The 13,437-nt window shown below is 40.5% G+C and overlaps 1 protein-coding gene and 2 pseudogenes across 1 annotated transcript in view; 1 reads left to right on the top strand and 2 right to left on the bottom strand.

Annotated features, from left to right (window-relative positions):
* Positions 1 to 13,437, bottom strand: part of RANBP2 (RAN binding protein 2) — a 1,122,820-nt gene that overhangs the window by 100,554 nt on the left and 1,008,829 nt on the right. The window lies entirely within an intron of this gene.
* Positions 4,206 to 6,239, top strand: RPL22P11 (ribosomal protein L22 pseudogene 11; annotated as a pseudogene).
* Positions 8,406 to 9,447, bottom strand: SRSF3P6 (SRSF3 pseudogene 6; annotated as a pseudogene).

The following is a 13,437-nucleotide window of genomic DNA, read 5'->3' as shown; positions in this document are numbered from 1 at the left end:
CTTTAGAGTTTTTTATTTTTTAGTTTTTTGAGACAGAGTTTTCTCTGTCGCCCAGGCTGGAGTGCAGTGGCGTGATCTCAGCTCACTGCAACCTCTGCCTCCTGGGTTCAAGTGACTCTCCAGCCTCAGCCTCCCAAGTAGTTGGGATTACAGGTGCCCACCACTACTCCTAGCTAATTTTTTGTAGTTTTAGTAGAGATGGGGTTTTGCCACGTTGGCCAGGCTGGTCTTGAGCTCCTGACCTCAAGTGATCTGCCGGCCTCGGCCTCCTGAAATGCTGGGATTACAGGCGTGGGGCACCGAGCCCGACCATCTTTAGGGTTTTTATAGATGCTTTTTACCAAGTTGACCATGTTCTCCCCTAATCCTGATTTGCTGACAACTATCATAAATGGGTACTGAATTTTGTCAAGTATCTTTTCTGCATCTATTCATATAATCATGACTTTTATTGTTATTCTGTTGACATAATTGGTTAGATTAACTGATTTCCAAATGTTAACACAGGCTTGCATATCTGGAATAAGTCCCACTTGGTCATGGTGTATATTTCTTCTTTTAACTTTGTTAGGCTTGAGTTACTACCATTTTGTTGAGGATTTTTACTTCTATATTCATGAAAGATATTAGTTTGTTGTTATCTTTTCATGTAATGCCTTTATCTGTTTTTGGTATTACGGTAATGTTGGCCTCATAGAATGAGTTAGGAAGTGTTTCCTGCTTCTATTTTCTGGACGAGACTATGGAGAATTGGTACAATTTTTTCTTAAATATTTGATAGAATTTAACAGTGACACCAACTGCACCTGGTACTTTCTGTTCTGGAAGGTTATTAATTAGGGATTCAATTTTTAAAACAGATGTAGACCTTCTCAGATCATCCTTGCATGATTCTTTCAATAAATTAGTCCATTTTACCTAGGTTATCCAATTTATAGGCATAGAGTTGTTTAAAATATTCCTTTATTACTCTTTAAATTTCATTTAAACATCCCTGGGGTCAATATTGATCACTCTTCTTTTATTCTAATATTAGTAATTTGTGTCTTTATTCTTTTTTCTTGATTAGCCTGACTAAAGGTTTATCAATTTTACTAATATCTTTAATGAAAATGTTACATGCTTTGTATGATTTCTACTTTTTCTATTCTTTTATACTTGTGGAAGTGTGTTTTATGGCCCAGAATGTGGTCTACCTTGGGGAATATTTCATGTGAGCTGGAGAATATGTAACCTGCTCTTGGATGAAGTAGTCTCTAGATGTCAATTAGATTCATGTAATTGATGGTTCTGTTAAGTTTAACTATATCCCTATGATTTTATGCCTGCTGAATCTGTTCATTTCTGAGAGGGGTGTTGAAGCCTCCACATGTTATAATTGATTCATCTACTTCCACTTGCAGTTATATTTTGATGCTTTGTTGTTACTCAAATACACATTAAAGACTGTTGTGTCTTCTTGGCCGGGCGCAGTGGCTCACGCCTGTAATCACAGCACTTTGGGAGGCCGAGGCAGGCGGATCATGAGGTCAAGAGATTGAGACCATCCTGGCCAACATGGTGAAACCCTGTCTCTACTAAAAATACAGAAATTAGCTGGGCATGGTGGCCTGCGCCTGTAGTCCCGGAGCTACTTGGGAGGCTGAGGCAGGAGAATCGCTTGAACTCAGAAGGCAGAGATTGCAGTGAGCCGAGATCATGCCACTGCACTCCAGCCTGGCGACAGAGTGAGACTCCATCTCAAAATAAAAAAGAAAAGAAAAGAAAATGTTATGCCCCATGTAACAGCAGAGTAACAGAGTAACATAAAATAAAATTACATTTTATAACAAAAAAAAAAAACTGGGTATAGAAGAAACATACCTCAAGGTAATAAAAGCCATATATGACAGACTCACAGCTAGTATTGTACTGTATAAGGAAAAACTAAAAGCCTTTTATCTTAAATCTGGAAGATGACAAGGATGCCCAGTTTTACCACTGTTATTTAACATAGTATTGGAAGTCTTAGCTAGAGCAATCAAGACAAAAAGATAAAGGACATCAAAATTGGAAAGGAAGACGTAAAATTATCCTTGTTTGCAGGTGATATGATCTCATATTTGGAAAAACCTTAAGACTCCACCAAAAATCTAATAGAACTGACAAACAAATCCAGTAAATTTGTAGGATATGAGATCAAAAAACAAAAATCAGTAGCATTTCTATATGGCAGCAGTAAATAATTTGAAAAAAGAAATTAAAAAAGTAATCCCATTCGCAATAGCCACACATAAAATTAAATGCCTAGGAATTAACCAAAGAAGTGATCTCTACAATGAAAACTCATGCAAGAAATTGAAGAGGACACACAAAAAATGGAAAGATATTCCACATTTATGGATTAGAAGAATTAATATTGTTAAAATGTCCATACTACCCAAAGCAATCTACAGGTTCAATGCAATCCCTATCAAAATACCAAAGACATTCTTCACATAAATAGAAAAAACAATCATAAAATTCATATGAAATCACAAAAGACCCAGAATTACCAAAGCTATCCTAAGCAAAAAGAACAAAACTGGAGGAATTACATTACCTGTACAGAGCTATAGTAACCAAAACAGCATAGTACTGGATAAAACCATGTACATAGACCAATGGAACAGAACAGAAAACCCAGAAACAAATCTACATGCCTACAGTGAACTCATTTTCGACAGAAGTGCCAAGAACACGCATTGGGGAGAAAACAGTTTCTTCAATAAATGGTGCTGGAAAAGCTGGATATCTATATGCAAAAGAATGAAACTTGATTCCTATCTCTCACCTTAAACAAAAATTAAACCAAAATAGATTAAAGACTTAAATTTAAGACCTTAAACTATGAAACTGCTACAAGAAAACACTGGGCAAACTCTCCAGGGCATTGGACATGACATTACTCAAAAATTTCTTGAGTAATATGCCATAAGCACAGACAACCAGAGCAAAAATGGACAAATGTGATCACATCAAGTTAAAAAGCTTCTACCCAGCAAAGGAAACTATCAACAAACAAAAAGAGACAGAAAACCCAAATAAATAAAATCAGAAGTGAAAAAGGAGACAACATTACAAGTGATACCACAGAAATACAATGAATAGGCTGGGCGCAGTGACTCACACCTGTAATCCCAGCACTTTCGGAGGCTGAGGTGGGCAGATCACCTGAGGTTGGGAGTTCGAGACCAGCCTGACCAACAGGGAGAAACCCTGTCTCTACTAAAAATACAAAAATTAGCATGGTGGCACATGCCTGTAATCCCAGCTACTCGGGAGGCTGAGGCAGGAGAATCACTTGAACCTGGGAGGCAGAGGTTGCGGTGAGCTGAGATCGCGCCATTGCACTCCAGCCTGGGCAACAAGAGCGAAACTCCATCTCAAAATAAATAAAAAAACAATAAATAAATGGTACTGAGAAAACTGGATATCCATATGCAGAAGAATAAAACTAGACCCCTATCTCTCACCATATACAAAAATAAACTCAAAATGGATTACAAACTTAAATGCAAAACTACAAAACTACTGGAAGAAAACATAAGGAAAATGCTTAGGTCATTGAGCTGGGCAAAGATTTTACAGATGAGACCACAAAAACACAGGCAACAAAACAAAAATAGACAAATGGGATTATATCAAACTAAAAAACCTCTGCACAGCAAAGGAAACAATCAACAGAGTAAAGAGTCAACTTGCAGAATGGGAGAAACTGTTTACAAACTACTCATTTGACAAGGGATTAATATCCAGAATAAACAAAGAACTCAAATAACAGCAAATAAAACACAACAACAAATAACCCAATGTTTTTAAATGGGCAAATGATCTAAGTAGACATTTCTCAAAAGATCTACAAATGGCCAACAAGTATAAGAAAAAATGCTTAATATCACTAACCATCAGGGAAATGCAAATCTAAACTGCAATGAGACTTCATTTCACCCCAGTTAAGATAGCTATTACCAAAAACACAAAAAAATAACAAATACTGGAGAGGATGCAGATTAAAGGGAATTCTTTTACACTGTTGGTGGATATGTAAATTAGTACAGCGACTGTGGAAAACAGTATGGAGGTTCCTCAAAAAACTAAAAATTAAACTACCATATGATCCAGCAATCCCATCACTGGATATACATCCAAAGAAAAGAAAATCAGTACGTTAAAGAGATATCTGGCTTTCTGCCTCCACTACTGCCATGGTGCCCGCGAGAAAGCTTGTGGAGAAGGCGGGCAAAAAAAAAAGCAGGTTCTGAAGTTCACTCTTGGTTGCACCCACCCCATAGAAGATGGAATCGTGGATGCTGCCAATTTTGAGCAGTTTTTGCAAGAAAGGATCAAAGTGAACGGAAAAGCTGGGAACCTTGGCGAAGGGGTGGTGACCGTCAAAAGGAGCAAGAGCAAGATCACCGTGACATCCAAGGTGCATTTTTCCAAAAGGTATTTGAAATATCTCACCAAAAAATATTTGAAGAAGAATAATCTTCGTGATTGGTTGTGCATAGTTGCTAACAGCAAAGAGAGTTACAAATTACGTTCCTTCCAAATTAACCAGGACGAAGAAGAGGAGGAAGACGAGGATTAAATTTCGTTTGTCTGGAATATTTTGTATGAGTTCTTGAATAAAACTTGGGAACCAAAATGGTGGTTTATCCTTGTATCTCTGCAGTATTGATTGAAGAGAAAATTGGAAATCATAGTCAAAGGGCTTCCTTTGGGCCTCCACTCACTTATTTGTAACATGACTTCTTTTTTTTTTTCAGCTTGAAAATGTCAATTCTTGTGGTAGTACTAGAGTAGGAGAAGGTGACTTGACGGAACTGACAGCCATTGGGCAGGCACTTGAGGGTGTGGAGGTGTGGGCTGAAGGGAGTGACCATTTTATTTTTAAAAATTTAACTGTCAATCATTTCTATTGCTTTTCCCAAAGAATGATTCAGGGATACAAGTGGGCTCCTCTCATTCATTAAAACAAAACGTGACATCTTTCTAAGATTCTCTGGGAAAATGACAGTGTCAATAAAACGCGGGTTTCTGGGCCATTCGTCTTACTTTGATTTTTTTTAGTACAAATTTCTCTCGAGGCACAATCACGTCTACTAATCCTCTTCCTCCTAGAGAGAGAAACTGTGCTGCTTCGGCGTTGCTGCGTAGTCCGTCACTCTCCATAAAGGGGTTTGGGGAATCGATTGTAAAAGTCCCAGGTTCTAAATTAACTAAATGTGTACAAAAATTAATGTGTAAGTAATGTGTTTCTACAAGTCTTTGCAACAATCTGTCACTTTGGTCTCCAGCAGAGGGAGCTGGAGGAATAGTGCTTCCAGATGTGGCGTCCTGAGTGGGGCCTGAAGAAGTGGCTGAGAAGCCTCCCATGCCAAAGAAATGGAAGGTGCCTGGGAAATAGCTGCCTCATGCAACTTGGGCCACGACTGGATTTAATGTCAGAAGTTATTCTACAAACAGTGATGTGCTGCAGTGCGTGCAGAGGCTAGAGAACCACAGAAGGGGGCTACCGAGGCTGGGAAAAAAGATACAATTGTTGCCGTGACTTTGAAAGACCCTGATGCTTTGTGGTGCCCTTCCGAAATTCGAACAATAATGCAGAAGTGTGTGTTTTAGAATTTACGGTGTATGAAATTCATGTTTTTAAAAGAACTTGCCTGCAGATGGTTTCCACACGTGAAATTGTGCTCTGCTAGTTGCATAGCTGGAAATTCAATGTTTAATCCTACCTTGGCTCCAATTTAACATTTGGTGCTCTGTGGACTGAGTTGAACATGTTGAGGCTTTGCAATTTCACTTGTGTTAAAGGTTCTAGTATTTTCCATTTCTGTGCAAATTTCTCTGAAGCGGAATTGCTTGCATATTTCTTCTCTGCCTTCACTGAAGGCAGAGTTTCAAACTTCACTGAGGCATCAGTTGCTCTTTGGCAATGTCTCTTACTGTGATTATTAACTATAAGTTTGTGGCTTGAGTTTACAAAATTTACTTGTTTGTTGCATTGATTTTCTCATGTAGTAAGTAATTTTTAGTTTGATTGTGAAAAAACCCTGGGCTGAAGTTAGCATTTAAGTTAAAAAAAAATTTTTTTTAACTAGTCCCAGATTTAAAAACTTGTAATAAAATTGAAACTCACTGGTTTTTCTCTTTTTGAACTCTTGTAATCAAGTTTTGATCACATTTTCTATTAAAATGGCTAACACATGGCTACTAAAAAAGAAAAAGAGAGAGAGAGAGAGAGATCTGCATTACTGTGTTTATTGCCACACTATGCATAATGGCCAAGATATGATATCAACCTAAGTGCTCACCAACAAATTAATGGATAAATAAAATGTGGTCTATAACCACAGTAGAATACTATTCAGCCATAAAAAATAAAATTCTCTCATTTACAACAACGTGAATGAACCTAGAGGATTTTATGTTAACTGAAATAAGCCAGGCACAGAAAGATAAATACCACATGTTCTCACTTATATGTGGAAGATTAAAAAGTTGAGCTCATAGAAGTAAAGAGTAGAATAGTGGTTATTAAGGGCTAGGAAAGGCAGGGAGGTGGGAAGAATAGTGGGAGGTTAGTTAATGGACAAAAAATTATAGCTGGATAGAAGGAAAACGTTCTAATGCTCTATAACATTGTAGTGTGACTATAGTTAACAATAATTTATTGTATATTTTTAATAGCTAGAACAGAAGATTTTTAATGTTCCTACCACAAAGAAATTATAAATGTTTGAGGTGATGGATATGATAATTACCCTGATTTGAGCATCAAACTTTGTATACATGTATCAAAATATCACACTGTACCCCATAAACATGTGCAATCATTATGTGACAATTAAAAATAAAAAAGAAAGAAAGAATCCATTGACCATATACATGAGACCTTTTTCTGAGTCTCTATTCTAGTTCATTGGATATGTCTGTCCTTATGCCAATGCTATTCTGTTTTAATTACTGTAGCTTTGTAGTAAGTTTTGAAATCAGAAAGTGTGAGTCTTCCAACTCTATTCTTCCTTATAAAGATTCTTTTGGCAATTCAGGGTCACTTTCAATTTTATGTAAATTTGAGGATCTGCTTCCCCATTTGTGGGAAAAAAAAAAGACTGTAGAATTTTAGAAGAGATTTTATTGAATTTGCTGATCACTTTCAGTAGTATTGACATCTTAACAGTGGTAAGTCTTCCTATCCACAAACACAGAATGTATTTTCAATTACTTTGATCTTTTTAATTTTTTTGTAGTTTTTATCTTTTATAGTTGTCAGTGTATTAATCTTTCACCTCTTCAGTTAGATTTATTTCTAAGTATTTAATTTTTTAGATGCTATTGTAAATGGAATTTCTTAATTTCCTTCTGGTGTATAGAAAATTTGTTTTTGTGTGTTGATTTTGTACACTGCAACTTTGCTGAATTCATTTATTAGCTCTGAGCTTTCTTGTGGATTCTCTGGGGTTTTGTATACAAAGGATTATATCATCTATAAATAGAAATAGTTTCACCTATTCCTTTATATTTGGATTTTTTTTTTTTTTTGAGGTGGAGTCTTTCTCTGTCACCCTGGCTGGAGTGCAATGGCATGATCTCAGCTTACTGGAACCTCCACCTCCCAGATTCAAGCAATTCTCCCGCCTCAGCCTCCCAAGTAGCTGGGATTACAGGCACCCGACATCATGCCAGACTAATTTTTGCATTTTTTGTAGAGACGGGTTTTCGCCATATTGGCCAGGCTGGTCTTGAACTCCTGACCTCAGGTGATCCGCCCGCGGCCCACGTCGGCCTCCCAAAATGCTGGGATTACAGGCATGAGACACTGCGCCCGGCCGACATTTTTTTTTTTTTTTTATCAGGATCTGGCTCTGTTGTCTAGGCTGGAGTACAGTGGTGCAATCTTGGCTCACTGCAACCTCGGTTTCTCGGGTTCAAGCAATCCTCCCACCTCAGCCTCCTGGGTAACTGGAACTACAGGTTCATGCCACCGTGCTCAGTTTTGTTTTTGATTTTTTGTTTTTTCGTGTATTTTTTGTAGAGACAAGGTGTCACTATGTTGCTCAGGCTGGTCTCAAACTCCTGAGTTCAAAGGATCCAACCACCTTGGCCTCACAAAGTGCTGGGATTACAGGTGCGAGCCACCACGACTTTTCTTGTCTGGCTAGAACTTTCAATTCAGTGTCAAATAGCAGTGGGAATCTTTTTCTTGTCCCTTGTCTTAAGGGGAACTCATTCAGTCTTTTACCATTGAATATAATGTTAGCTGTAAGTTTTCCAGAAACACACTCTATCATGTTGAGAAATTTTCCCTCTGTTCCTAATTTGCTGAGAGTATTTATTATGAAAGGGTGTTATTTCCTCAAATGCTTTTTCCATGTCAATTGAGATGATAATGTGATTTTTTTCTTTTGTTCAAATAATGTGATGTACTACATTGATTGATTTTCTTCTGTTGAAACATCTTTGCATTCCATGGTAAAATTCCATTCGATTGTGAATAATCCTTATAGTAGCAGATGGAGTCAGCTTTTTTTTTTTTTTTTCATTTGACCTAGATGGGCTACGAAACCTAGAGAAGGATCAGGTGGCTTGTGATTTCTCTCCCGAGACAGCGATCTCTCTCTTCTCCTAACTCCAGAAAGGGACCTGCTCCGGCTACAAGACAAGTTTCTCCTTCTTGGAGGTCTGCGACGAGGTGGAAGACCCCTCCTACAATAATCATCTCAAGGACGATGACCCCAAGAGGGAGGTGGGCCATGATTTCTACTTCTTTTTTCACCGTTTGACAGTTCCTCTCCTACACAGGGGCCACATAGTGTTCTTCCATCTAGTTCTCAGACCACACCTGCTGCATCTCGGGGATCTTCAAATTCAACAAAAGCAAAGCCAGGAGGGTTTCTAGCAACCCACACACTTCAGAGTGGTCCACAGTAGCCAAAAGTCTGTTCCAATTCAGTCTTGTTGCCATTGTTTCCAAGATTGCCTGCATAAACCTACATAAACCAAGGCGGGCGGATCACGAGGTCAGGAGTTCAAGACCAGCCTGGCCAACATGATGAAACCCGGTTCTCTAATAAAAATTAGCCAGGTGCAGTGGCATGTGCCTATAGTCCCAGCTACTCGAGAGGCTGAAGCAGGAGTCACTTGAACCTGGGAGGCGGAGGTTGCAGTAAGCCGAGACTACACCATTGCACTCCAGCCTGGGGGACAGAGCAAGACTCTGTCTCAAAAAAAAAAAAAAAAGATGAAGGTGTATGTGGTTCATACTGAAAGAGGGAAGTCCCTGCCTTGGTTTCCCACGAGTCTTTTATATTCTCCTTGTGATGGAGGCTCCAGGCTTGTGCGCATTCCCAGGGCAGGAACAGTCCCACAGACCAAGGGCTTCACAGTAAACAAAGCAGGTGACCAGTTCCCAACGTACATTTTTCCACAATAAACTTGATACATTTTCAAGCAAACAGTGTTGTGAGAAGGTGGCCTAGGTCTGTCCAGGATCTAGGCCTGCAATTAATTAATACTTTACTCACAGCATTCAAAAGGGAATAAAGAATAGTATATACACTTATGGCCAGGCATGCTAGTTCACGCCTATAATCCCAACACTTTGGGAAGCTGAGGCGGGTGAATCTCTTGAGCCCAGGAGTTTGAGACCAGCCTGGGCAACATGGCAAAACCCTGTCTCTACAAAAAATAAATACATAAATAAAGTTAACTGGGCATGGTGGTGTGAGCCTGTAGTCCCAGCTACTTGGGAAGCCAAGGTGGGAGGATCACCTGAGCCCTGGGAGGTGGAGGCTGTGGTGAGTCATGATGGTGCCACTGCACTCCAGCCTGGGTGACAGAGTGAGACCCTGCCCTCCTCGCCAAAAAAAAAAAGAAAAAGAGAAAGAAGAAAAATACTTAAGTATCAAACCCTCCAGCTTAAGAAATGAAACAGGCCAGACGCAGTGGCTCCTGCCTGTAATCCCAGCACTTTGGGAGGCCGAGGCTGGGGGGATCACCTGAGGTCAGGAGTTCAAGACCAGTCTGGTGGCCGCGCGCAGTGGCTCACGACTATAATCCCAGCACTTTGGGAGGCCAAGGAGTGCGGATCACAAGGTCAGGAGTTCGAGATCAGCCTGGCCAATATGGTGAAACCCTGTCTCTACTAAAAATACAAAAATTAGCCAGGCGTGGTGGTGCACACCTGTAGTCCCAGCTACTCTGGAGGCTGAGGCAAGAGAATTGCTTGAACCTGGGAGGCGGAGGTAGCAGCCAGCTGAGATCACGCCACTGCACTCCAGCCTGGGCAACAGAGTGAGACTCCATCTCAAAAGAAAAAAAAAAATTAAAAAACTAAAAATTGAGCTATTTGAATTGGACACATGGAATCCATTGGAAGATGTTTCAAATATTGGGTCATCTTCCAATATTTACTCCAACTAATTCTCCTACTATTGGACCAACTCCCGATACACAAAAGTTTAAATTTTACACTAATTTTTAATTTCTCCTTTGGTTGCTGCAAATAAACTGAATGTGTCCCCAAAAACTCATATGTTGAAATCCTAAACCCCAGGTGAAGATGTTAGAAGGTGGGGCATTTAGGGAGGTAATAAAGTGGTAAGGATTACTGCCCTTATAAAAGAGGCCCCTTGGCCGGGCGCGGTGGCTCACACCTGTAATCCCAGCAATTTGGGAGCCCAAGGCGGACAGATCACCTGACATTGGGAGTTCAAGAGCAGCCTGACCAACATGGAGAAACCCTGTCTCTACTAAAAATACAAAATTAGCTGGGCATGGTGGTGCATGCCTGTAAACCCAGCTACTTGGGAGGCTGAGGCAGGAGAATCGCTTGAACCTGGGAGGCAGATGTTGTGGTGAGCTGAGATTGCGCCACTGCACTCCAGCCTGGGCAACAAGAGTGAAACTCTGTCTCAAAAAAAAAAAAAAAAAAAAAAAAAAAAAGAGAGAGAGAGACCCCAGAGAGATCCCTCAACTTTTCCACTATGTGAGGACACATGAAGTCAGCTGTCTGCAACCCAGAAGAGGACTGTCACCAGAACTAGACCATGCTGGCATCTTGATCTCAGACTTCTAGCCTCTAGAAATGTGAGAAATATATGTTATTTATGAGTCACCCAATCTATGGTACTTTGTTATAGCAGGCTGAACTAAGGCAGTCCCCAAACTGAATACCTCTTGAATGCATTTTACTTCTCTCTGTCTCTGCTTCACTTCTGTTAACTTTTACAAGTCATCCAGTTTTCCGTCTTACACATCCCTTCCTCTGTGGTCATGGAGACACTGGAGGAAGGGCTGAAGCTAGTCATTCTTCTTTCTGAAGTAGCCTCAAAGGGGACCAAGTCAACTGGATGCTCTTTGGAGTAAACTCACTTTTTATTCTTACATCTTTAGAGGAACACCTCTTAGAAAGCACAAGCAGATCAGCAAGAGGTTTATTCAAACCATCCAAAGAAACAGCTTTTCAAAGCCCATGTGATGGACAATAAGGTGTCTCTTTCTCTGAACCTTTCCTCAAAGTGATATAACATGTTCCTGGCCAGGGCTTAGGTGTCAACCTCACAATCTACCTGATGTGGTTTGGCTCTGTGTCCCCACCCAAATCTCTTCTCAAATTGTAATCCCCATGTGTTGAGGGAGGGACCTGTAATCCCCACGTGTTGAGGGAGAAAGGTGATTGGATCATGGGGGCGGTTCCCCCATGCCGTTCTCCTGATACTGAGTGAGTTCTGGCAAGATCTGATGGTTTTATACATGTTTGACAGTTCCTCCTTCACATGCTCTCTCCTGCCGCCTTGTAAAGAAGGTGCCTGCTTCCCCTTTCACCATGATTGTCAGTTTCCTGAGGCATCCCCAGCCATGTGGAACTATGAGTCAATTAAACCTCTTTCCTTTATAAATTACCCAGTCTCAGGGAAGTTCTTTATAGCAGTGTGAAAACAGACTAATATACCACCGCACTGCACTTCCCTCCTTCCTTCAGCCAGGACACCTGGGAGTTTTCCTTTCTGGTCTTCAGTTACCTTTACCACATCTCCAATAGTGTTTTGTTTTTGTTTTTGTTTTTAATTGAGACAGAGTCTCACTCTGTCGCCCAGGATGAAGTGTAGTGGCGTGATTTCGGCTCACTGCAACCTCCACTTCCCAGGTTCAAGCGATTTTTCTGCCTCAACCTCCCGTGTAGCTGGGATTACAGCTGGGATTAGTGACCACACCCAGCTAATTTTTGTATTTTTAGTAGAGATGGGGTTTCGCCATGTTGGCCAGGCTGGGCTCGAATTCCTGACCTCAAGTTATCTGCCCGCCTCAGCCTCCCAAAGTGCTGGGGTTACAGGCATGAACCACTGCTCCCAGCCAGCTTTGTATTTTTTAAATGAGAAAAATACAAATAGAATTAGAGAAATTGTTTTGTCATGAAAACATGTTTGGGTGTGTGCCATTTGGAACCAGAAGTAAATATCTTTTATATTGATGTTTTCAACCCATCTACAAAATAGAGTTCCTTTCTCCTACGTGAAGGAACGTCTGCTGGTCAGAGATGAAAAAATAAGTTGGAAAGTTGTGGCCTTCCAGCACTGGCTTTGCTGGACTGGGAGTCCCAGGGCAGTGTGCTCCTCCCTCTTGCAATGTCAGCAGCTATCTTCACATGGCAGAGCTGTTAAATCTATGCTGTGTCCAAAAAGGCTAGTAACAGCTGAATGCTCTCCAGCCATTTGGGGATTTTGTCTGCCCTGCATTTTTTAATCCTTTTACTACACATACAGTGGTGTGCTTGAGCCAGATGGTACCGAATGTTAAATTCTCAGGAATTTAGCAAGCTGACTGTTAAACCACTGAAAGCTTGAAATCAGCTATGATGGGAGCATTTACACCACAGAAATCAGTAATCGGGGCTTTTTTCCTTTTCGATCTAGAGAACCAAACCTTTACTAGCACACCACTGTATATATATTCTTTAAAATCTAGCATTGCCGGGCACAGTGGCTCATGCCTGTAATCCAGCACTTTGGGAGGCCAAGGCAGGTGGATCATAAGGTCAGGAGTTCGAGACCAGCCTGACCAAGATGGTGAAACCCCTCTTTACTAAAAATACAAAAATTAGCCAGGTGCGGTGGCGGGCACCTGTAATCCCTGCTACTCGGGAGGCTAAGGCAGGAGAATCGCTTGAACCCAGGAGGCGGAGGTTGCTGTGAGCCAAGATCGTGCCACTGTACTCTAGCCTGGGCAACAGAGCGAGACTCCATCTCAAAAAATAAAAAAAAATAAATTTTTTAAAAATAAAAAATAGTATTATTTACTGTATTTAGTAGTATCCGTGTCAGTTACCTATTGCTGATTAACAAGTTACCCCACAACATACTAACTTAGAATGACAACGATCATCTATTTTGCTAATGAATCTTCAGTTTG

This window comes from Homo sapiens, chromosome 2 (assembly GCF_000001405.40).
Source record: "Homo sapiens chromosome 2, GRCh38.p14 Primary Assembly".
NCBI lineage: Eukaryota > Metazoa > Chordata > Mammalia > Primates > Hominidae > Homo > Homo sapiens.
This window is presented reverse-complemented; position numbering and strand designations above follow the sequence as displayed.